A 22,876-nucleotide genomic window follows, 5' to 3' on the forward strand; every position below is an offset into this window, starting at 1 on the left:
ACTGTCTCTACAAAAAAATTAAATTTGGCAGGGGCTAGTGGCTCGTGCCTGTGGTCCCAGCAGAGACAGGAGGATCGCTTGAGCCCAGGAGTTGGAGGCTGCAGTGAGCCGTGATGGCACCACTGCACTCCAGCCAGGGCTACAGAGTGAGACCCTGTCTTCAAAAAAACCAAACCAAAACAAAAAAAAAAACACAAAAAACTATTTACAAATTTATCTCTGTTCCCTTATTCATTCATTCTGCCTAGTAATCCCTGAACAGAATTCCTCCTTCTCCCACCCTCACAAACCTGTTTTACCAGGAGGGTATATAAGCTTCTGAACCCTTTTCGGGGTGGGTAATCATACTGTGATTCTCCCCGTGTATACATTTTAAATACATTTGTATGCCTTTTCTCCAATTAATCTGCCTTTTGTGAATTGATTTTTGAGCGAATCTTCAGGGGGCAAAGGGGAGGTTTCCCATTGGCTCCTACTTTGTCATTTCTCCATTTAATTAGAAAAATACTTCAGGCTGGGCGCGGTGGCTCACGCCTGTAATCCCAGCACTTTGGGAGGCCGAGGCAGGCGGACCACGAGGTCAGGAGTTCGAGACCAGCCTGGCCAACGTGGTGAAACCCCGTCTCTACTAAAAATACAAAATTTAGCCGGGCATGGGGGCACGCGCCTGTAGTCCCAGCTACTCAGAAGGCTGAAGCAGGAGAATCGTTTGAACCCGGGAGGCGGAGGTTGCAGTGAGCCGAGATCACGCCACTGCACTTCAGCCTGGGCAACAGAGAGAGACTCCGTCTCAATTTAAAAATCAAAACAAGCCCTTTCTTGCGGTGACGACCTACCCACGAGAACATGCCTCTCGCAAAGGATCTCCTTCATCCCTCCCCAGAAGAGGAGAAGAGGAAACACAAGAAGAAACGCCTGGTGCAGAGCCCCAATTCCTACTTCATGGATGTGAAATGCCCAGGATGCTATAAAATCACCACAGTCTTTAGCCATGCACAAACGGCAGTTTTGTGTGTTGGCTGCTCCACTGTCCTCTGCCAGCCTACAGGAGGAAAAGTAAGGCTTACAGAAGGATGTTCCTTCAGGAGGAAGCAGCACTAAAAGCACTCTGAATCAAGATGAGTGGGAAACAATCTCAATGAACACATTTTGGGAACAACTACAACAACAAAAAAAACCTTCAAAAAACCTAGGAACTCCAGATGACTTCCTTTGGGAATTGTCCCTTAACCCTTCATGAGAAGTCAGGAGATGACTCCTGTTTTTCAGGTGACAAAATTGGAGCATGGCAAAGGTGATCTGCCCACTTCAAATCGCTAGCTAGACGGAGCATAGGGACTCGAACTGCCGTTTTCCTCGCCTCCAAGAGTACAGGGACGAACCGGTGAGCAGAAGGCCTAAGAAGTCAGGCACAAGAGGTTTCTGCCCAGGAGGCACAGAATGAAACTTGCCGGCTGTTGGCCCCGCCCCACTTCGAAGCTCCGCCCAGGCCAAGAAGCGCGGGGGCGGGAGTGAGGGGGCGGTTTCCATGGTGACGGCAAACAAGGCCCACACTGGACAGGGCAGCTGCTGGGTTGCTACTCTCGCCTCCGCCATGATTCCGCCCGCAGACTCTTTGCTCAAGTACGACACCCCAGTGCTGGTGAGCCGGAACACGGAGAAACGGAGCCCCAAGGTAAAGACGGGGGCTCGGGAGACAAAGGAGCCTCGAAACTCCGATAGGGAAAGACACATTCCCGCATGGAGGGTCAGGAATCTCAAGGGACGGGGATTGCAGCGACTGGGAGTAAAGGGAATTGGGAAGTCAGAGAAGGAGGGTGAGAGGATTGTATAGGAAGCCCAGATGTTGGGTGTGACCCCAGAGGGCAGATTTAGGATGGGGAAGGAGGTCACAGGGAGATGGATGGGGCTCACTCTTCTTAATGGTACGCGGGTCCAAGAACAGATGACTAGGTAGTGATTTCCCCATCACCAGAGGTGTGAAAGCACATGCGCCAGAAACACCTGTTCAAGCATTGAGTTGGGGCCAGACTTCATGGCCTCCTTCAGCTCTGTGACATAATTTCTGCTGAGAAGACCGACCCAAAGTAGGCTAGGAAGAGGGGAGGGCTGTGCAGAAGACCTGGAGCAATATACAGGTTGGGGATGTGTGGAGCTGAGCTCCTGAACAATTTCCTGCCCTCACCTGTGCCTTCATCTCAGGCTCGGCTACTGAAAGTCAGCCCCCAGCAGCCTGGACCTTCAGGTTCAGCCCCACAGCCACCCAAGACCAAGCTCCCCTCAACTCCCTGTGTCCCAGATCCTACAAAGCAGGCAGAAGAAATCTTGAATGCCATACTACCCCCAAGGTAAGAAAGTAGGAGCAGTGGCTGGGAGAAGGCCTAAGCTTTTACATCGTGGATTTTGGGAGTGTGGGGGGAGGCACTCTGCCTCTGTTCCTGGCTGGGGTTTCCTCCCAGTATCACAGAGCTCCTAGAACTTACATATGGCTGGATCCTGGCAGGGTGGTGGGAGACCTCTTCTCAATCTACCCTCATTTCCTGCATGCTGTCACCCAATCTCATGGCTTTAGATACCACCTATGTGCTGATGGCTCCCAAATGTGTATTTCCAGCCCTGTCTTCTCCACTAAACTCCAGGACCATATAGTCTTCTGCTTCCTCATTATCTTCATGAAGATATCTAATAGACATCTCAAACTCAATATATTCAAACTAAATCACAATTTCTTCCTTCCCCAATCTGCTCATCCCCCGTATTCTCCTTTTTACTAGGGACTCAAACCACCTTTCATTCCTTTTGATCACTCTCACAGCATGTGTCCTATCCTTCGTCACATTCTTTTGGCTCCACCTTCAAATTCTTTCCCAAATCCAACCACTTTTCACCACCTCTGCTTCCACCATCTTGCTCCTAGTCACTGGTGGCCACTCGCACTGCTGCAGTGGCCTCCTATCTGAAAACACTGCTTCCACTCTGCTCCTAGAATCTATCCTCCATACAGCCCCTAAGTCATAAGTCAGATCATGCCAGTCTCTGCCAGAAACTCTTTTGTGGCTTCCCATCTCAGACTAAAATCAAAAATCCTTACAATGGCCTGGAAGATGTGGCATGATCTGGCCTACGATGTATCCCTGACCTTATCTCCTGTTATTCTGTTTCTTGTTCACTGTGCTGAATCCACAGGGACCTCACTTGCTATTTCTGAAATGCCTCATTCACTCTCCTACCACAGGGCCCTGACAGCTGGTGTTTTCACTGCCAAAGATGTTCTCCCCTTGATATTCTCCTGGTTCCTTTCATTTCTTCCAGGCCTTCCTTGAGAATTTGCTATAGCAGAGCACCCCTGCCCAACATGATCTCCTTTTCTTGCTTTTTTCTTCTGCAGCCACATTGATAAAAGGACATGCCTTTTCATCTATTTTTATGTAATAAGTTGACAGCACAGTTGGTAAGGCTATGAGGAAAAGGGAAATGGGGGCCTACGCAGGCACACACCTTCATGAACCTCTCCACCCCGATACACACATCTGCCTCTTTCTGGCTCGCACAAGGTTCATGATGTCCTGTGTTTCCCACCCCGTAAGTTGGTGGGTAGTTCCTACTGTTCACATCAAGCAACAACCATAAATCGGTCTTCAGCATGTTAGGAGGGTAAGATCTGGAACAGTGGGGAATGATTTCACAGAGGCCCGTTGCCAAGGTGGAAATTGTCTACCACCTACCCATTCCCAAGATCCCTGTGGAGGCAGCATAGTGGGTGTGGCTTTGGAGCCTCACACCCCAAGGGATGGAGGATTCTGGTGGGTTGGTGGCAAAGCTGCCCCTCACCACTACTCAGGCAGAGGGCTCAAAGGGCCCTCTGCTCATGTGCTAGGGACCTTCAAGTCAACGGGTTTTGCTCAGCCTCGCTGTGTCTGCCACAGGGAGTGGGTGGAAGACACGCAGCTATGGATCCAGCAGGTGTCCAGCACCCCTAGCACCAGGATGGACGTGGTGCACCTCCAGGAGCAGTTAGACTTAAAGCTGCAGCAGCGGCAGGCCAGGGAAACAGGCATCTGCCCTGTCCGCAGGGAACTCTACTCACAGTGTTTTGGTGAGTGAGCCAGGTGAGGGGTGGGCACTACACACCCTACTGCTCCCTTCCCTTCACCTTCAGCACAGATCCAAGCCTGAGCACCTTGGAGCTGGAGCCCATCTCATGCTGGAATCCCCTCTTCTCCCCCTGCCTGACCCACCCAGCAACAGCTAACTGCCCCCTTCCCCTTCCCAGCTGAAGGGGGCCAGCCCCTCCACACCTGTGGGTATTTCTCCTCAGGCAGGAGGAGAGACTAAGAAAAGAAATAAGACACAGACAAAGTATAGAGAAAGAAAGGTGGGCCCAGGGGACCGGCACTCAGCATACGGAGGACCCGCACCGGCACTGGTCTCTGAGTTTCCTCAGTATTTATTGATTACTATTTTCACTATCTCAGCAAGAGGAATGTGGCAGGAGAGCAGGGTGATAGTGGGGAGAAGATCAGCAAGAAAACACGTGAGCAAAGGAATCTGTGTCACGAATAAGTTCAAGGGAAGGTACTATGCCTGGATGTGCACGTAGGCCGGATTTATGCTTCTCTCTACCCAGACATCTCAGTGGAGTAAAGAGTAACAGAGCAGCATTGCTGCCAACATGTCTCGCCTCCCGCCACAGGGCGTTTTTTCTCCTATCTCAGAACAAACGTACAATCAGGTTTTATACTGAGACATTCAGTTCCCAGGGGCAGGCAGAAGACAGAGGCCTTTCTCTTATCTCAACGGCAAGGGGCCTTCCTCTTTTACTAATCCTCCTCAGCACAGACCCTTCACGGGTGTCAGGCTGAGGGACGGTCAGGTCTTTCCCATCCCACCAGGCCATATTTCAGGCTATCACGTGGGGAGAAACCTTGGACAATACCTGGCTTTCCAGGGCAGAGATCCCTGCGGCTTTCTGCAGTGCATTGTGCCCCTGGTTTATCGAGAATGGAGAATGGCGATGACTTTTACCAAGCATGCTGCCTGTAAACATTTTGTTAACAAGGCACATCCTGCACAGCCGTAGATCCCTTAAACCTTGATTCCATACATCACATGTTTCTGTGAGCTCAAGGTTGGGGCAAAGTTACAGATTAACGGCATCTTAGGGCAAAGCAATTGTTCAGGGTACAGGTCAAAATGGAGTTTCTTGTGTCTTTCTTTTCAACGTAGACACAGTAACAGTCTGATCTCTCCTTCTTTTCCCTACACCAGCCCCGCCTCTTCTACAAGTCCTCCAGCTGCCAACCACTATATTCTTGGCAACTTGAGTTCCTCACCCCTTAGCAGATGTTTGGAGTAAAACGATAACTTCCATCTGTTTTTTCAAAGATTTTCTATAATAAGCATGTGCTAATTTTTTAGTCAGAAAGATTAATGTTCAGTATTTACATCCATCCATCCATCCATCAATATTTGGCCCTTGGTCCAGAAAAATATTGTGATTTGTTGTTAACCCACAGACACGAGAGATTTAAGATGCACCTCCTTGAGTGCTGGTGTCAAATGGCTGTCTCCCAGCCCAGTCTCATTGGCTCTTATGGACGCCGATCTGCAAACCACCTCCAAACCCTCAGGCAGCTGCAGGGTCTAGCAGGCTTCCCTATCCGTGTGTTATTATGGTTTGCCCTCCAGGTCAGCATTTATGGGGAGATAGATGGGCAAGCTCTAGACCCTGCCATTTCCCTCAAACCAGTGCAGCCAAGGGGGCACACAGGATGTCCCAGCTGCTTTAAAACAGCTGCCATCTTTAAACAGAAAAAGTCAGGTTTTTTCGAGTAGTAACCAGTTTTTACCTAAGGCAGGAAGGGAGGGGACCCAGTGCTGTAAACAAACCAGAGCCTCTTGTCTCCTTTGCTCTGGCCAACCCAGTCTTGCTGACTGTGCTACTCACAAGTGCCAAGTTCAGAGGAGTGACTGCATGGCAAGGCTCTTTGGGCCACTGAAGGCACCCTCCCTGAGGCCCTTCTCTGAGGCCTTGCACTTTGTCTCCAAGCGAGAACACCCTAATGTCCTTCCCAAGAGGAAGGGTGTTTGCAGTAGACATACTGCAAGCCCCCTCCCCACGCCCTGTCTGATCTCATGGTGTGTGTGCATTGGAAGATGAGTTGATCCGGGAGGTCACCATCAACTGTGCGGAGAGGGGGCTGCTGCTGCTGCGAGTCCGGGACGAGATCCGCATGACCATCGCTGCCTACCAGACCCTGTACGAGAGCAGCGTGGCGTTTGGCATGAGGAAGGCACTGCAGGCTGAGCAGGGGAAGTCAGACATGGAGAGGAAAGTGAGTGGGGTTTACCGTGACCCTTGGTCCCATCTCTTCTGTAAACCTCAGGGCCACATGCTTATCATTCCAGCACTACATTCTGACCTCCTAAGGTGCTCTGCTGACAGTCACGACACCTGGACTTGCATCACCTCAGTGAGGGACCCCTGGTTGAGTATGATGGCCAGCCTGGTGGTCTTGGCAGAGTTGTTTCCGCTGTAGACGCTCCATGCCAGGCACTGACCTCCCACTGGGTGGCAGTATATACCCTGGCAATGTCATGTCCCATGTCCCTTCCACCCAGGCTCACACCATTCCATTCACCTGGCGACATCCCAGGATGACTGGGCATTCTCTCCTCAGATCGCAGAATTGGAGACGGAAAAGAGAGACCTGGAGAGGCAAGTGAACGAGCAGAAGGCAAAATGTGAAGCCACTGAGAAGCGGGAGAGCGAGAGGCGGCAGGTGGAGGAGAAGAAGCACAATGAGGAGATTCAGTTCCTGAAGCGAACAAATCAGCAGCTGAAGGTAATCAACGCGCAGGGTGGGGTGGAGGTGCCCCCTGCCCTGCGACCCAGCCCCACAGGCCAGGCATTCGGTTCCTTTTCCATGGCTTTTAAATGTTTGTCCACATGCACTGCCAAAGGATAAAGGAAGCTGACTTTGGTGGTGGGAGAAGGGGAGGGCTCCAGAGGGGGTCTCTACTCTCAACTCCAAATCTCTGAGGCGCCTCAGCCTGGCTCTCCAGTGGAGGATTCTTCTCCCTGGAAAAAAGTTGCCCATCCTCAAGGAAGAGGTGGATATGGCAAAAAGTGGAACTCCATTCCCCTGGAAGCTGGTATGTTGGAGCCTTTCTGGAGGGGGCTGGGCTCCAGGTGGCTTGCGTGGTAGTGCCATCCCATGGCTGTCTCCTCTGAGGCCCTGTTTCAGGGCATAACCAGGGAAGAAGTCAAAGGGCAGCAGGGCCCTTTGAGAGGAAGAACCATTTCAAATCAGAAACCTTCCCCAGAAATGTGGTCGGGGAACCCAGGCACAGGTGCTCTTCCTCGAAGTCCGATGCCAGCAGTGGTCTTTTATCCAGCTGAGGTGATAGGAGGGAGGGGGCTGGTGGACAAAGCTGGGCAGGAGGCCATGCTACAGGCACTGCAACTCCCAGCTGTTTGGTCCAAAGGTCTCAAAAGGTAGGCCCTAGATCAACATCGTCCTCACCTGGCAAAGCAAGACAAATTATTGGGCCCACCCCAGATCTACCAAATCAGAAAATTCGGGGTTGGGGTCCAGCAATGTGCTTTAACAAGGTCTCAGGTGATTCTAATGTTTGCAGAAGTTTGAGCATCACTGTTCTGGAAAGATGGCCTACTGACATTTAGTGGCCTTCTCCCATGGCCCTGGCCAAAGGACCCTGGATGGATCTCCCTCTCCTCCCTAGGCTCAGATAGAAACCTTACAATCTTGACATTGCAGGCTTGTTTGGTCTACACACCAGCAGGACTGGCCATTTGCGATAAAGAAGGCTTTCTGTTAACCACTACTGGAACTTTTCTTGTTGCACAAAGAAAAGCAAGAAACTTTCACAGCCAGAGATGAATCTGTTTCCTTAGCAGCCTCTGAGGCTGCTTTCCTTAACTGCCATATTCCTTTTTCATAAGCCTGAGTTCCTCAGTTCTTCCTGGATTAGCAACAAGAGCAAACCAAATACCTTAGCATGTTTCTAACATTTAAAAGCAATCTTGTAATCTCCAGGGTGAAAGATTCTTTAGAAGTTGGCATTTTTAAATTTTTTTTCTTTTGAGACGGAGTTTTGCTCTTGTTGCCCAGGCTGGAGTGCAATGGCACCATCTCAACTCATTGCAACCTCTACCTCCCGGGTTGAAGTGATTCTCTTGCCTCAGCCTCCTGAGTAGCTGGGATTACAGGCATGTGCCAGCACGCCCGGCAAATTTCTGTATTTTGAATAGAGATGGGGTTTCACCATGTTGGCCAGGCTGGTCATGAACTCCTGACCTCACATGATCTGCCCACCTTGGCCTCCCAAAGTGCTGGAATTACAGGCTTGTAATACAGGAAGTGAGCTATTTTTATTGGCTCAAAACTGCATTGCAAATAAAGCAGCTTTGCTGTCCCCAGGATAGACCTACCTAAAGATCTGTCCAGTATTATTTTATTGGCTACCAGAGGAACATAGTAAATAACTCCCAAGTGTCTTAAGCTTTACATAAAGAGGGACAGCTCTCGGCTGGGTGTGGTAGCTCACACCTGTAATCCCAGCACTTTGGGAGGCCGAGGCAGGTGGATCACATGAGGTCAGGAGTTTGAGACCAGCCTGGCCAACGTGGTGAAACCCATTTCTACTAAAAATACAAAAAGTAGCTGGGCGTGGTGATGTGCATCTGTAATCCAAGCTACTCAGGAGGCTGAGGCAGGAGAATCACTTGAACCCGGGAGGTAGAGGTTGCAGTGAACCGATATCACACCATCACACTCCAGCCTGGGTGACAAGAGCAAAACTCCATTCCCCACCCCCACCCCCCAACAAAGAGGGACAGCTCTGTATTCACTGGCAGCATTTCTCTAATTGTGTGCCAAGTTGTCTCAGTGGCTGAAAATTCACTGTTTCCCAAACCTCTGGTCCCAGCAGAACTCCCAGGATCCTAAACCAGAGAGCCAATATTTTTTTTTTTTTGAGACGGAGTCTCCCTCTGTCACCCAGGCTGGAGTGCAGTGGCACGATCTTGGCTCACTGCAAGCCCCGCCTCCCAGGTTCATGCTATTCTCCTGCCTCAGCCTCTGGAGTAGCTGGGACTACAGACGCCTGCCACCACGCCCAACTAATTTTTGTATTTTTAGTAGAGACGGGGTTTCACCGTGTTATCCAGGATGGTCTGGATCTCCTGACCTCACGATCCGCCCGCCTCAGCCTCCCAAAGTGCTGGGATTACAGGAATGAGCCACTGCGCCCGGCCAGAGAGCCAAATGTTTAACTTAGCAGACATATTCTGGCCTGAAACCTGAGCCATGAAAAGCCCTTACAACAATGCATTCAATATCCTTTTCAATGCTTTATATCATACCCGGAGCCATTATTGTGTTGAAACCAGGACAGCTCTGGCTTCTCCTCATATACTAAAGACTGTATGCCAAGCTAGAAACTAGCTAATCTAGAAAATATGGATTTGGGGATCAAGGGGAAAAAGAACCCTTGGAGTGACAGCATGTGGATTCTTCTTCCCAGAGATTTGATCACCTCTCAGCTATTTGTATCAGGCTGCAAGTTTCAAGTATTAATGGAGCTTGTTTTTGTTTTTCAGGCCCAACTGGAAGGCATTATTGCACCAAAGAAGTGATAATTTCCACATGATTAATTTCCAACAAGACACTTGGGAGTTATTTACTGTGTTCCTCTGGCAGCCAATAAAATCATCATAAGCCCTTTGTAATAAAAAGCTAGTTTCCTGAGTGAACAAGCCATAACCTCCCCTAAACACCACCTAGGTATTTGTTAGAAGTCACACTATTACTCCAATGTCATCAGACACCTAAGGTCTGCCAGCCAGGCTCCTGGCTGGGCAATGGAAGATGGTGTGGCCCTGTTAGTCTCCGTGTGTGGCTTACTAGCCAGCCTTGGGAACTGCCAACTCAAATTCTAAGAAAGCCACTGCTTTCTCATCATCACTCTATACCAATACTTATTTCTGGCCAAATGAATCTGCTTCTCTGCCCCTCAAACTTTTAGTTCACAATTCATCTTCTACCTTAACTTGGGCTTCTTGGGCCTCTGGCCTTCCTTACTTAATGTCTTCTTTTCCCTACTCTAATGCATTTCTAACTCACTTTGGAGCTTTGGTTTTCTAATGTATTATCCCCACTTGCCAGTCAACTGGACCCCTTCCTCCTCGGTTTCAGACTGCCTACATTAGGAAACAATGGCAGTCAAACCCATGGCTTTGGAGAAAGTAAATGTTTGCCAGAAAGGAATACTAGTCACAGTGGCCTTTGTGAGTTGTCTGCAACTCAGCTCTTCCCCCAGCACAGATCTGTTCCCCTTATCCTGCAGAAAATCAAGCCCTGACTCTGCACTCCCCGAAGTAGTGATGTTAATTAACAACTGAAGAGGTAACTAAATCTCACATGCAGGTCTAATGACTAATAATTGGAGTACGGCTGCTAGACAACTGCATTTTAGTATTTCTCTTCCATTCTCCTGGTTTTGTAGACCCAGAAGATTGAATGAGTGACATAAATCTTTAGTTCGGGGCAAGCCAGGGTGGGCTAGGGTGGTAAGCTGGAGGACTTCATCCTTCAGTTAGGCTGCACAAGTAACATTACCTAAAAGGCACTAACATGCTCAGGTTCCCCAGAAAGAGGCGTAAGAAGGGCCTCTCCTTAGCAGAGCTTCCACCTGCCATCCGTCTTGGGTTCAGTGAGCTTCAAGGCTCACAATGGAAGCACTGTCATTTCCCCAGAAAAGCTGTGTTCCCTATGCTGAACACACCATACACATTCTCATCTGGAATCTAAGGAGCAGCTTTTACCCTGATCCAGTATCCTGAGGAATTTTAAGCCTCCACTCAAATGACCTGCCTGTGTTGTCATTTCCATGGGAAAGAACTCTTTCCACGAGATCTGCTAGTTCCAGGCCTCTAAGACAGGAACGTATGTGCCATAAGTGGGTCTACTTCACAGACTCAATGAGGCAGAAATTATTGTAGTTTTCTCCTATTTCTTCTGCACCCAACTTTCTCCTTGTATTTCAAAGGCCAGGCCATGTACACTAACGTCCTTGAAATTTGCAGTTCTGTATGCTTCTATTCCAAATCATTCATTACCAATAAAAACGAAATACCACCCTTTCCATTTTATAGACCTCATCCCCTATTTCTGTCAGACAGTTATATGACAGGGTGACTGTGGAACCTCTTAGTTCATCCAAAGTCTACCTGAAGTGCTAGACTTTCAGACTCTTATCACTGAAATCCTTAAGGTTGAGGAGGCTTTATTTCCCTAGCACTGGTGAAGGGCTTCAACTGTCAAACCTCAGAACAAATGCATTAGGGCCTTAGAAATGTCAATGGGGCAGGAAGAAAACACAATTTCTAACTGCCTGTTTTTGTATAATTTAATAAAAACCTTTTAAACATTACTGCTTTTGTCTGAATTTTTTGCGTTTGTGTTTCTGTCCCTCTGAGTCATTGGTCTTCTTTTTGTTCCTGTTCCTATTTTTCACGTTGTGTGTTTCATAGTAGCGCACACCAACTTTTTTCGGCCGTTGCTGTCGTACTGCTCGCCTCCGCTGTAAAAAATGGCAAGAAAAGATGAAGAAAAAAAACAACAAAACCCTGAAAGTCATTCACAAAACAGGAGTCTCTGCTTCTCATCTCTGTGTTCTATTTCCCGTGCTGCTTCCACAGCTACTGGAAGCAGTGCTAATGAGGGAGGGCTCCCCCGTAGACCTAAGGTTACTCTTCCATTGTGACTTATGCAACTCCAAGTTACAAATCCACATGTGATCCAACCCTTAGCCAGTGCAAGAATCTGTTCTGCATCACTCCTGACAAGTCCCCTGCAGCAAGGCTGAGTGCTGCTAACCACTCCCCTCCCCAGAGGGCCCACTCTAGCTCTGAACAGCTCAGCTCCAAAGCTGTCCTTCACAGAAGTCAGTGATCTGCCCAAAGCAGATCTGCTCATTGGGTCGTTTCCCTTGGGACTAGAAACTGACTCCTCTAGAGGATAGTCCACTCGTGTGGAGACGTTGATTAGAAACTCCTAAAACGTATGACATGGACTCAAGGACCTGCATCTAGTGGGCCAGACCCGACCCTATTTATCTGACCTCAACTAGGTCAACGAGGACTGGGGTTCTTGGGATTCAGCTCTGGACCATTTGTTTCAGTGGGTCTTGACAACTGGAGTTCTAGTTACTCTACTTGGGCCATACTTAAAACCTATGACACTTACTTCTTTTGATGTAAGCGCCCTGGGAGCTTTATTTGAATGTTCCTGTTCCTCTTCCCTTTGTGCCTTCCGCTTCTTTCCCTTTTTGGAAGGTGCTGGATACAAACAATACACAAACAGGAATTTTCTATTGAAAATTTGTCTATAAACCCAACGGTGGGAACAAGCTTGATGTATCAGGAGGAGGACACCCAATGTGGACAGAGCAGGTGAGCACAGTGGTGAGTAAAGCAGGCCAAGGGGAGGCTGCCAGGTAAAAGGATGCCCTAAGCCATGCTCTCAGTGTGAAAGCTGATGGTCAAATGGAGGAATGGATAAATGCAGGAAACACACCCCCCTCTTTGTCTGTGGACCCACCCTTGGATTCTAGGTTAATAATGAACCCTTTCTAGGAAGTTTCCTGAATTGCCAATTTAATCCTAAAAAATGTGCAGAATGAAAAGCAGATAATTCAATTTGCATAACACTATGTAAATTTAAAGTAATCTGCCAGATATGACAAACATTTATGTGGATGACTGAGATAATTTGGAGACTGAACTTAGGTTTCTCAAAACTCTAAATATGCAAATTACATCTAAATGATTGAAATAATTTAACTTCACCTCTGTCATCTACATCTTCTTCCAGTGTTTTTCTTTGTTCTTCAGGTTTTGCAAATATCTTTTCACTCAGTCCCTTGGATATTCTGAAACAGAAAAGCAAAGTAACATTCCTCCTCTCACTCGCCCGAATCACATACTGACCTGGAGACCTGCGACAAACTCACAGACTAAAGAAACCCCACTCCTATCCAAGTAGTTATCACCAGTGGAAGAAGTCAACATCCAACATGTTTGTACCTCCCTGGGTGTTTCTAAAGCTTCTCATACTGCAGGCAGCTGAATTTTACAAAATTTACAGTTCACTTTTTAAAAATGGCAATAACAGCCAAGTGTGGTGGTGCACACCTGTAGTCACAGCTACTTAGGAGGCTGAGATGACAGCATTGCTTGAACCCAGGAGAGTGAGGCCAGTCTAGGCAACATAGCGAGACGCCGTCTCAAAAAACAAACAAACAAAAAACCCAACCGAACAAACAAATGGCAATAACCCCATGTAAAAATATGGCTCTGGTACTCATGGCAAATTTTTGGGAAAGGAATGAAAATCTGCAATTTGTGAGAAGATGAAAATATTACCTGACTGCTGAAAACTTTTTGGCTTTGGCTTTGTCTAGAAACTTCTGATATTTGGCAATCTTCTCATCCAGTGCTTTAATAACGGCTTTGGTGTCGTTTCCCACATTTTCCTCCTCAGGCTCCGAGGAAGACTCTTCCGCATCATCTCTTTGTTGCTCCTGTTCCTCCTCCTCTTCATCAGAAAAGCTCTCAAGCTCTTCCTCAAGATCTGACACCTCCACAGGAACCAGGTCATCCCCAGAAAACTGAGGCACCACGTTGATTTTACCAAAGTTCTGCCGAACTCGTGTGAGAATCTGCTGCATCTCTGTGTTAGCATCACAGTGACTGTTCTCTTCTGTTTCTTCCTTAATGATGGATTCTGACCCTTCACCTGCAGTTTCTGTGACTTCCTCCCCTGGATTGTTCTGGGCTGCTTCTGGGACAACTTCCAAAGATGAGGAGGGTAGAAGCTATTAAGGGGTGGAAATGGGGGAAATAAATAGAATCAGAAAATGAAAAATGGAATTTCTGAACTCATATCTTGCTCTTAAACAGTCCTCTTCTCAGGACTAAGGGAAGGTATTGAAAACACCCAAATTTGAGTCATTTCATTAATGTATTTTTAAACCAATGTACATTAAGCCCAGAGATCAGTACTAGGATCAAAGGAATACATGTGTAGTTCCACAGGATGAACCAACTAAGACTATTTAAACCATTAAAACCAACCAATGATTTATCATAGAAAAGCAAGGCTCCCTAGACCTTCCCTAGGGGGCTGCTGATATAAGCACATGCAAAATCAGCACACACAACTACATAAAAATGAAGGCCAGGCTGGATGTTACAGATGAGAACAGTACTAAGAGAGGCATTTGAGGAGGTCCTCTGATTTAAATGTGTCCCCCAAAATTCATATGTTGGAAACTGGTATGGTTTGGCTGTGTCCAAATCTCATCTTGATTTGTAGCTCCCATAATCCCCATGTGTTGTGGGAAGGACCGGGTGGGAGGTAATTGAATTATGGGGGCAGGTCTTTCCCATGCCGCTCCTATGATGAATTAAGTCTCACGAGAGCTGATGGTTTTATAAAGGGCAGTTTCCCTGGACACACACTCTTGCCTGATGCCATGTAAGACATGCCTTTGTTCCTCCTTCACCTTCCGCCATGATTGTGAAACCTCCCCAGCCATGTGGAACTGTGAGTCCATTAAACCTCTTTTTCTTTATAAACTAACCAGTCTCATGTATTTCTTCATAGCAGTATGAAAATGGACTGATACAGAAACTTAATCCCCAATGCAGCAAGTGTTGGTAGGTAAGGCCTAATAAGAGGTAATTAGATCATGAGGGCTCCATCCCCATGAATGGACTAATGGATCTCGGGGATGGGTTCGTTTTTAAGAGTGAGTCTGTTGGCCGGATGTGGTGGCTCACGTCTGTAATCCCAGCACTTTGGGAGGCCAAGGTGGGCAGATCACAAGGTCAGGAGTTCAAGACCAGCTTGGCCAACATGGTGAAACCCCATCTCTACTAAAAATACAAAAATTAGCTGGGCCTGGTGGCATATGCCTGTAGTCCCAGCTACTCAGGAGGCTGAGGCAGGAGAATCACTTGAACCCAGGAAGCAGAGGTTGCAATGAGCCGAGATCGTGCCACTGCACTCCAGCCTGGGCAACAGAGCAAGACTCCGTCTCAAAAAAAAAAAAAAAAAGAGTGAGTTTGTTATAAAAGCAAGTTTGACCCTCTCTTGCTTGCTCTTGTCCTCCCACTTTCCACGATGGGATGACCCTTGTCAGATGCTGGTGCCTTGATACTGGACTTCCCAGCCTCCAGAAACATGAGCCAAAACAATTTCTGTTCATTATAATTACCCAATCTGTAGTATTCTGTTGCATCATCACAAAACAGACTAAGATAGGAGGCATCCTGAAGCAAGAGTATAAGGTAAGGAGGGGGAATTCTGTGATTGAAGAGAGTTCATTAGAGAACTAAGTCTGGGGACCCTGAAATGACTGGCCTGTTTTAGGTAACCGCAAAGATAAGTATGTGCCAAGCTTTCTACTGGTGTTTCACATGTATAATATCATTTTATCCTTGCAACAAAAACTCAGAGAACTTAAAAGTGATGTTCTAAAGTCAAGAGTGGCCGGGCAAATCACTAAATAAGTACAGAACTATAAAATTCAGGAAACCACACACAAAATTTATACATACATTTTTCTAGGAAGGGCAATTTTTGGCTTTCAGTTTCTGAAGGGGTTTCTGCTCTTAACCAAAAAAGAAAAACAGAATCACAGAGTAAGGCATATGAGAGTGAAACTGCCTCCAAAGGGTTGACAAGAAGTATCTGCCAAGTTCTGGACAGAAATACAATTATAATTAAGCACTAATTAGGGGGCACTTTGGCCCATATCCTTGTTGCTAAAAGTTCCTGAACACTAGGTACTGACCATTTGCATCCCCACTGTCCCTATAGATAGGATTTCTGACATTTGGGTCATAAGACTATGTAAGAATTGATATGCACCCCCATTGTTCCTATAGGCAAGATCTCTGACATTAGAATCATAAGGTTTTTGTTTAAGGATTGCTTAAAATGTCTTTTCAGATCCCTAATTCCAGCAACCAGTTTGAAGATCCCCAGAGAAACGGGATCTGCATGAGAACACAGCTTCTTCATCTCCCTGTCCGTGACTTCACCCTGCACTCTTCACCCAACCAATGACCCTCACTCCAGCCCACTCCAAAACCCTTAAAACCCTAACCCCAAACTCCTCGTGGAAATGATTTCAGGATTCCTCCCATCTCCTCCTTTGGTGACCCTACGGTTAAACTTCTTTCTCTGCTGCAACCTGGTGGTGTCTCAGCATATTGACTTGCTGTGTGCATTGGGCAACAAATCTATTATGGTTACAATAGTTCTTAAGAATTATCTGAACTACTTATCTACACTTACTGACTACATACGGAGGAAGGGCTGAAGACAATGCCAGTGTTTCCACACAGGGTCCCAAGACAGCAGTGATACGGACATCCAGAATGACCCTAGAATCCAGCTGCTAACTCAAAACCTCCAATGGCTTCCCACCATGACACCCTCTCCTGGCCCACGACATTCCAGCCACAGTGACCTCCTTTCAGCATCAGGACACACAGAGCATACTCCTGCCCCAGCTGCTCTGGATGTGCTGTTCCCCTTGCCTGGAACATTCTCCCTAGATACTAGCATGGCTCCTGTCTCATATTAAGGGCTCTGCTGAAGTGCCACTGCCTCAGAGGCCTTCCCCGACCACCCCAAAGTACTCCTCATCTCCCCCAAACCCCTTAGCCTGGTTTAGTTTTCCTCACAGCACGCAAGACTTCCTGACATTATATGTTTATCTGCCTACTGTCTCCCTGTGATATAAATGTCACACTTCCTGGCACAGAGCTCCTAAGACCCTTGGAATTTCCCAAGCGATGGGTATCTTTTTTATTGATTACAAGCCCCTTTCCACCACACCTGAGTTTATGCTAATGTGGTGACTCATGGTAGACCCCTAGATAGCTTCAGGATGGGGGATGCGCTGGTCACCAGAAAGACAAAGCACTTGACCACATGGTTGGTGCTTTCAGCCACTCAGAGGAGAGAAGGGAGACCAGAAATTGAGTCTATCACCAACTGCCACAGATTTCATCAGTCATGTCTATGTAATGAAACCTCCATAAAAACCCCTACATGATGGGGTTTGGAAAGCTCTGGGTTGCTGAACACATCAATGTGTGGAGAGGGCATGGAAGCTCTGTGCCTCTCCCCCATACCTTACCCTGTGCACCTCTTCCACTGGCTGTGACTGAGTTTCATCCTTTATCATAAACCGTTAATTGTAAACACAGCACTTTCCTGGGTTCTGGGAGTCCTTCTGGCAAATTATCAAACCCCAGAACCCCTGAATTTGTAGTTAGCCGGGCGTAAGTGTGGATAGCCTGAAGCTGCCATCTGAAGCAGGGGACCTAGTCCTTAACTTGTGGGGTCTGTGCTAACTCCGGGAGTTAGTGTCACAACTGAATTAAATTGTTGGGACACTCAGCTGGTATCTGAGAACTGCAGAACTGATATGGAAAAAAATTATGTATTTGGTGTCAGAAGAAACCACACACTCCCCTGCTGGAATATATGTGCAGGAGAGCAGCAGCTTGTCAGTTTCTCACCACAGCACCACCAGTACCCAGAAGAGTCTGTGGCCAACAGGAGACACTCAATATGGGATTGCTGGGTGAATGTATCAGTGAATTAATGAATGAAAGATGCAATACACATGAAGAGGGAGAGAAATTTTTGTTTGGTTGTTTGATGGTTTGGGCAGGGAGAAGGGAGAATGTCAATTAACATCAGTTTCAGGCTAACTTTCAAATGCTGCAGAATACATTCAACTGAAAATACCTAGCTGCAACTGCAACTTGGAATGGGGTCAGGTGAGAGGAAACCAGCACTGTATGGACCCAACGACACTAGCAAGCATAGATGCACAATTTGAAGCCACCATTTCAAGAGACTTGGCTGGGTTCTGAAAAAGGTCCTAGAACCAGAAAGGCAAAACGTTAACGTTGAGCCTTGTGGCGGCCCACTGCCAGGGTGAGGGAAATGGGGATAGTAGGAGAGCTTCTGGCCCCAGCCTTCAGTCTTCTTTCTCCGACTATCAGTAGTACCACTCTCCTTTCCCACTGGATCACAGGTTTTTTGAGGGCCAGGGCTGTTTTTCGTTCCTATATTCCCTGTGCCTGGCACATAGTCGATGCTAATAAATGTTTGTTAAACAAATGTTATCTTAGCAATGATTCTGTTTCGTAAGCATAAGAAAAGATACAGGTACCAGAAGATCACTTACATTTAATGAGCCCTCTTTTTCCAAGGCCCTAAAGGCTAGTATCTAAGTTTGGTCTTCTCTCATATGTCTACTTATTAGTCTCCAAATGCACCCCCTAGCAAGGCCATGGCACTGGCACTCTAGAATGAGAGAGGGTGGAGTGATCGCCATGGGCCAGCAGTGGCTCCCAACAGTGCTTCACCCTCAAAAAAATTTTTTTTTATTTTTTTGAGATGGAGTCTCCCTCTATTGCCCAGGCTAGAGTGCAGTGGCACGATCTCGGCTCACTGCAACTTGTCTCCTGGGTTCAAGCAATTCTCTTGCCTCAGCCTCCCGAGTAGCTGGGACTACAGGAGCGTGCCATCATGCTAGGTTAATTTTTGTATTTTTAGTAGAGACAGGGTTTCACCATATTGGTCAGGCTGGTCTTGAACTCCTGACCTTGTGATCCACCTACCTCGGCCTCCCAAAGTGCTGGGATTACAGGCGTGAGCCACCCATGCCCGGCCCCAAAAATATTTTTATATATTTAAAAAAATAATAAAATGAGAGACACCGCAGCTGAATGAATACACGCTCTATGAAGAGAGACAATCACAAGCTACACCAAATCTAGGTCAGGACCCATGCTCCCCAGAGGTGGGCCCACCCTGCTCTTACCTGGGGGGCCACAAGTGGCTCTGCATTGGGTGGCTTGACAAAGAAAGGAATCCGGCCCCTCTGCCAGTCATTGAGGACCATCTTACCCACAGTCTGCAAGTCGGGCTCTCCACCCTGAAAGGTCACAAAGAGATTCCCAATTAAATTCAAAGGACCAAAACCACCTACCACTTTGGGGGTATTTCAGTTGTCCCAGGGGTTCATCATCACTTAAGTGACAAGTTTCACACTGCTCATACATGCATACCAAAAAAAGGCCCATATCATATACATACATGCTTGTGACAAGTATCAGTCTAAATTCTCACAAACGCCGGGTCACCTTTAGTAACTTCCCAGTCCGGAAAGCGAGCTTCTCAAGAAAGTCCTCAGCATTCTCCCAAGAATCAATCTTGTATGTTTTGCTGATATATTCTGGCTTTGCTCGTTCAAGTACAGCACCAATGTGGTCTTCAGGACTCTTAATTTTTTCTACTTGAACCTAAATGTTAATAGGAAATCTCTCACTTACAAACTTTGTTGTGGAAGCAGTGAAGTTCCCAGTGTCCTTTGCAGCACTATTTGAAAATAGACTTCAACATCACAAAGCTCGTGGAGATTGGCAGGAGCCTGTCTCTGACGGGGCTAGACATGGTCAGCTGCAAGGAGCACTGCTGAAAGCTGACCATAGCCACGGAGCCCAGAACTCAGCTTTAATCCCCACTCACCACAAACTAACTGTGTGGCTGCCACAGTTTAAACTTGGAATGCTTCATGTTACTCACTTGCAGAAATGGTTAAAAGCCTGCCCATCCCAGGACACAAAAATAATGGAATAGTTTAAGAAAGGAGAGGAGGAATGTGTACAGGATGTATAGCCAGAAGCATGGTCAAGGTTAAGTGGAACCATTTACAGTTTTTCAGTCGTATTCAGAAACAAGTGAGGAAATGACTGGGTTCCAAAATGACTCAACCCATAAACCCACGAAGACGAATTATCGCTAAGCATAAACAGGCCCTGCTTCCCTTTGGATCCTGTGTGTAAACTACAAACTCTTTTGTGGGATGATATTGACCAGATATGCCCATGGTTCCACTAATTCCTCAAACAGCTTATGCTGAGAGGCTGCTGTTCAGCATCATGTTCCTAAAGTTTGGTCAGACAGGCTGACCCCAAACTGCCTTCTTAATAAGTAAAAAGGAAAGGTATCCAGGGTTCCCTATAGAACACTCCCCCGCAAACACAAACAGCCTATCAGGGCCAAATACTCACAACTCCTTTTAGCACAATGTCTGTCTCGGAGTCCTCAGAGGGGTAAACCACACCTGGACAGTCAATCAGGAATATCCGACGCATCAAAGTAATATACTGCCAGACCTGAAGTCAGAAAAAAGTCAGAGATGTCCTGTATCAAACACTAAGAGTCTAATTTCACAAACCCCTGATGCTCATGTATGAAGCTGGAAAGGAGGAAGGGGTGAGTCAAAGAAAAGCAACGCGCTAAGTAATTAAGCTACTAACTCTCTCATCTGTGCCGTGCACAAGATACTTCCACTAAGTGTAAACTATAGTTTCCATCAGCTAAGAGTCTAAAAACAACACAGAGACAGGATTTCCATCTCGTATTGTGCAATTATACCCGGTGAACCTTTCCTGAGTTTTAGAAGTACTCTTGAGAGCTTAGTACTGCTTGACCTCATTGCCTTTAAGCAAAACCATGCTGTTCCCCACTATGTGTTCTAGGATATGACCCCCAACTTTCAGAACCTACCTTAAGTTTGAGGCTTCTTAACCCAGGCATCAAATATTCTTGGGTTAGTTTTGTTTATCAAAATAAAAGGCTGGAGTGATAATTTAAAACAGATCTAAATATGAATCACATTAACTAACACAGGCCAAAGCCACACGGGGGCATATAAAATACTCTCAGTCTTATCAAAGTGGGCAGAAACAACTCTGATACGTTCCAAACTATTATATGGTGAGCTAAACTCCTAGTGGTGGTCTGCATTCAAGAGAAGCAGAGAGAAATCAACAAGTCCTAAACAATCACTCTCTATGAAAAGAAAATATGCAAAAGTAAGGTCACCCTGCGCCCAACGTACCTTTGTTTCACCTGCAATGGGAGCCACGTTGCAAACTTTCTTAGAACGCAATGTATTTATCACAGAGCTCTTGCCAACATTTGGATAGCCAATGAACCCAACACTGATCTGTTTCTTGTCAGTGTGCAACTGTTCAAAGAGAGAATACACAGCACATACATGCAGTCATATATATCCCTTTGGACAAGTAGGTTGTATTACTTTGTTAATATCAAGAATACAGTGCAAAACTGTTGATACAACTTGATCTGAAGCCTAGATACACACCACCTACATAATCTGAGTAAGCTGGATACATATGCTTATTAATAAATCAGAGGTGAGTCATTTCCTCAGTCATGCAAGTGAAATTATCCTTGTATGTGTTAAGGTTAAAAGTATGTAGGTCAAGAAATAAAAGAAGGCTCGGCACAGTGGCTCACGCCTGTAATCCCAGCACTTTGGGAGGCCAAGGAGAGCGGATCACCTGAGGTCAGGGGTTCGAGACCAGCCTGGCCAACATGATGAAACCCTGTCTCTACTAAAAATACAAAAATTAGCCAGGCATGGTGGCGCAAGCCTGTAATCCCAGCTACTTGGGAGGCTGAGGCAGGAGAATCGCTTGAACCTGGGAGGCCGAAGTTGCAGGGAACCAAGATCATGCACTGCACTATAGCCTGGGTGACAGAGACTCCAGTCTCAAAAAAAAAAAAAAGAAACAAAAGAAGAAAAACAGCTTGTTAGTCACTGATTTAGAACAATGCCATCTATTGATAAAACATCTTCGGGAAAAAGAATATGAACAGGTTCATCAACTGGACAATCCCACAACTCACCCCCCCTTTTCTTTGCATAATACATCTGCATTTCCACTGCCAAAAATAAATAACAAAAGAAAAAAAGCAACCTTGAAAGTTACGACTACAGGGTGAAAGTCTCAAAAAGGCAGAGCTTGCTATCAAGAAGAGGGCCTACAAACGAATGGAGGCTTCCGATTAAAGATGGTGGACTGAACATACATGCTAACCCCGTTCCCTCACCAACTCCACTAGAATGACAGCAGTGGACATTAACACTTTTAAACCAATAGAACCAAACATACTGAACCAGAGAATGAGATGGAGATGAGACAACAAAAACTAAAGTGATGTTAAACAAAATACTAGATGCTTAAAAGTAGTATCAAACTTGGCCCATTACAAAATATAAAAGCTAAGTGGTTGTAAAGATAGAAAAACTAAAGATCCAGCAATAATAATGACAATGAATCACAGAGATTCATTGGGAATCACTGGGAATTGGTGGTAGATCCCTCTTAAGATAGGGCTGAAAACAAGGACCAGCAGATAGTCTGCCAAAGCAGCCACACTTCTCCATCCCCTCCCTCATTCAGGGTGGGCACACAACTTCTCTACTCTCAAAGAAATCCAGGGCCTATGAAAGTGGCTTTTGGATTTTTTGAAATGTCACATGTTTGAAAGTATCTGTAATCTTCAGACTTGAAAGGGATCCTGGATTTAGAGATAATAACAGTATTCCCAGAATGATTAATTGAAAATCTAAGTATTCAATAGTGAGATGCCCAGTCTACTATTCCCACTGAGTTCCCAGAACTCTAGCAGCCAGGATTCTATACCCCTAGAGCTAGAGATTGAAAGATTCTCTTCTGGGGAAACTCACAAGCCCAAGAAAAAAGACCTACAGACACTGGTATCTACAGGATGTCCTCCCAACAAAAAATTTGGGTCCCAGTCAGGCACAGTGGCTCATGCCTGTAATCCCAGAACTCTGGGAGGCTGAGGTGGGCAGATCACTTGAGGTCAGGAGTTTGAGACCAGCTTGGCCAACATGGTGAAACCCCAACTCTACT

The 22,876-nt window shown here is 46.6% G+C and overlaps 2 protein-coding genes and 1 pseudogene across 5 annotated transcripts in view, besides 4 other annotated features; 2 read left to right on the plus strand and 1 right to left on the minus strand.

Annotated features, from left to right (window-relative positions):
- Positions 147-1,117: an enhancer, noted in NCBI's record as "H3K4me1 hESC enhancer chr1:38021148-38022118 (GRCh37/hg19 assembly coordinates)". NCBI's record gives its function as "activates a minimal SCP1, AML or CMV promoter by ChIP-STARR-seq in naive H9 embryonic stem cells {active_cell/tissue: H9 hESC(naive)}" and the evidence as "EXISTENCE:reporter gene assay evidence [ECO:0000049][PMID:30033119]".
- On the plus strand, positions 814-1,153 carry RPS27P9 (ribosomal protein S27 pseudogene 9; annotated as a pseudogene).
- Positions 1,328-1,622: an enhancer, noted in NCBI's record as "tiled region #12224; K562 Activating DNase matched - State 5:Enh". NCBI's record gives its function as "activates a minimal TATA promoter and a strong SV40 promoter by Sharpr-MPRA in K562 cells {active_cell/tissue: K562}" and the evidence as "EXISTENCE:reporter gene assay evidence [ECO:0000049][PMID:27701403]".
- On the plus strand, positions 1,540-11,457 carry DNALI1 (dynein axonemal light intermediate chain 1). The gene is made up of 6 exons (NM_003462.5): positions 1,540-1,675; positions 2,203-2,348; positions 3,927-4,096; positions 6,157-6,335; positions 6,681-6,845; positions 9,626-11,457. The coding sequence occupies exons 1-6, from the start codon at positions 1,595-1,597 to the stop codon at positions 9,659-9,661; spliced, it is 777 nt and encodes a 258-aa protein (NP_003453.3). The 5' UTR covers positions 1,540-1,594; the 3' UTR covers positions 9,662-11,457.
- The window catches only part of GNL2 (G protein nucleolar 2), a 29,122-nt gene continuing 17,661 nt past the window's right edge, over positions 11,416-22,876 (minus strand). For all 4 annotated transcript variants that reach the window (NM_001323624.2, NM_013285.3, NM_001323623.2 and 1 more), the window contains 8 exons: positions 21,028-21,156; positions 20,195-20,299; positions 19,265-19,423; positions 18,943-19,056; positions 13,451-13,902; positions 12,875-12,957; positions 12,273-12,364; positions 11,416-11,607 (listed from right to left, as the gene is read on the minus strand). In NM_001323624.2, the coding sequence (NP_001310553.1) occupies positions 11,455-11,607; positions 12,273-12,364; positions 12,875-12,957; positions 13,451-13,902; positions 18,943-19,056; positions 19,265-19,423; positions 20,195-20,299; positions 21,028-21,156 (1,287 nt within the window). In that variant the 3' untranslated portion in view covers positions 11,416-11,454. The remainder of the gene's footprint in view (positions 11,608-12,272; positions 12,365-12,874; positions 12,958-13,450; positions 13,903-18,942; positions 19,057-19,264; positions 19,424-20,194; positions 20,300-21,027; positions 21,157-22,876) is intronic.
- Positions 12,815-14,014: an enhancer, noted in NCBI's record as "CDK7 strongly-dependent group 2 enhancer chr1:38033816-38035015 (GRCh37/hg19 assembly coordinates)". NCBI's record gives its function as "activates an origin of replication core promoter dependent on BRD2, BRD4, P300/CBP, MED14 and CDK7 cofactors, with strong dependence on CDK7, by STARR-seq in HCT116 cells {active_cell/tissue: HCT116}" and the evidence as "EXISTENCE:reporter gene assay evidence [ECO:0000049][PMID:35650434]".
- Positions 20,730-21,929: an enhancer, noted in NCBI's record as "P300/CBP strongly-dependent group 1 enhancer chr1:38041731-38042930 (GRCh37/hg19 assembly coordinates)". NCBI's record gives its function as "activates an origin of replication core promoter dependent on BRD2, BRD4, P300/CBP, MED14 and CDK7 cofactors, with strong dependence on P300/CBP, by STARR-seq in HCT116 cells {active_cell/tissue: HCT116}" and the evidence as "EXISTENCE:reporter gene assay evidence [ECO:0000049][PMID:35650434]".

The sequence above is a fragment of the Homo sapiens genome, chromosome 1 (assembly GCF_000001405.40).
Source record: "Homo sapiens chromosome 1, GRCh38.p14 Primary Assembly".
In the NCBI taxonomy this organism is placed as follows: Eukaryota; Metazoa; Chordata; class Mammalia; order Primates; family Hominidae; genus Homo; species Homo sapiens.

Bases quoted from the DNA above. Each gene is read 5' to 3' on its own strand.
- DNALI1 (NM_003462.5), top strand. From the start codon at position 1,595: ATGATTCCGCCCGCAGACTCTTTGCTCAAGTACGACACCCCAGTGCTG. The intron at 1,676-2,202 runs GTAAAGACGGGG...CCTTCATCTCAG, and splicing joins CGGAGAAACGGAGCCCCAAG to GCTCGGCTACTGAAAGTCAG. The intron at 2,349-3,926 runs GTAAGAAAGTAG...TGTCTGCCACAG, and splicing joins AATGCCATACTACCCCCAAG to GGAGTGGGTGGAAGACACGC.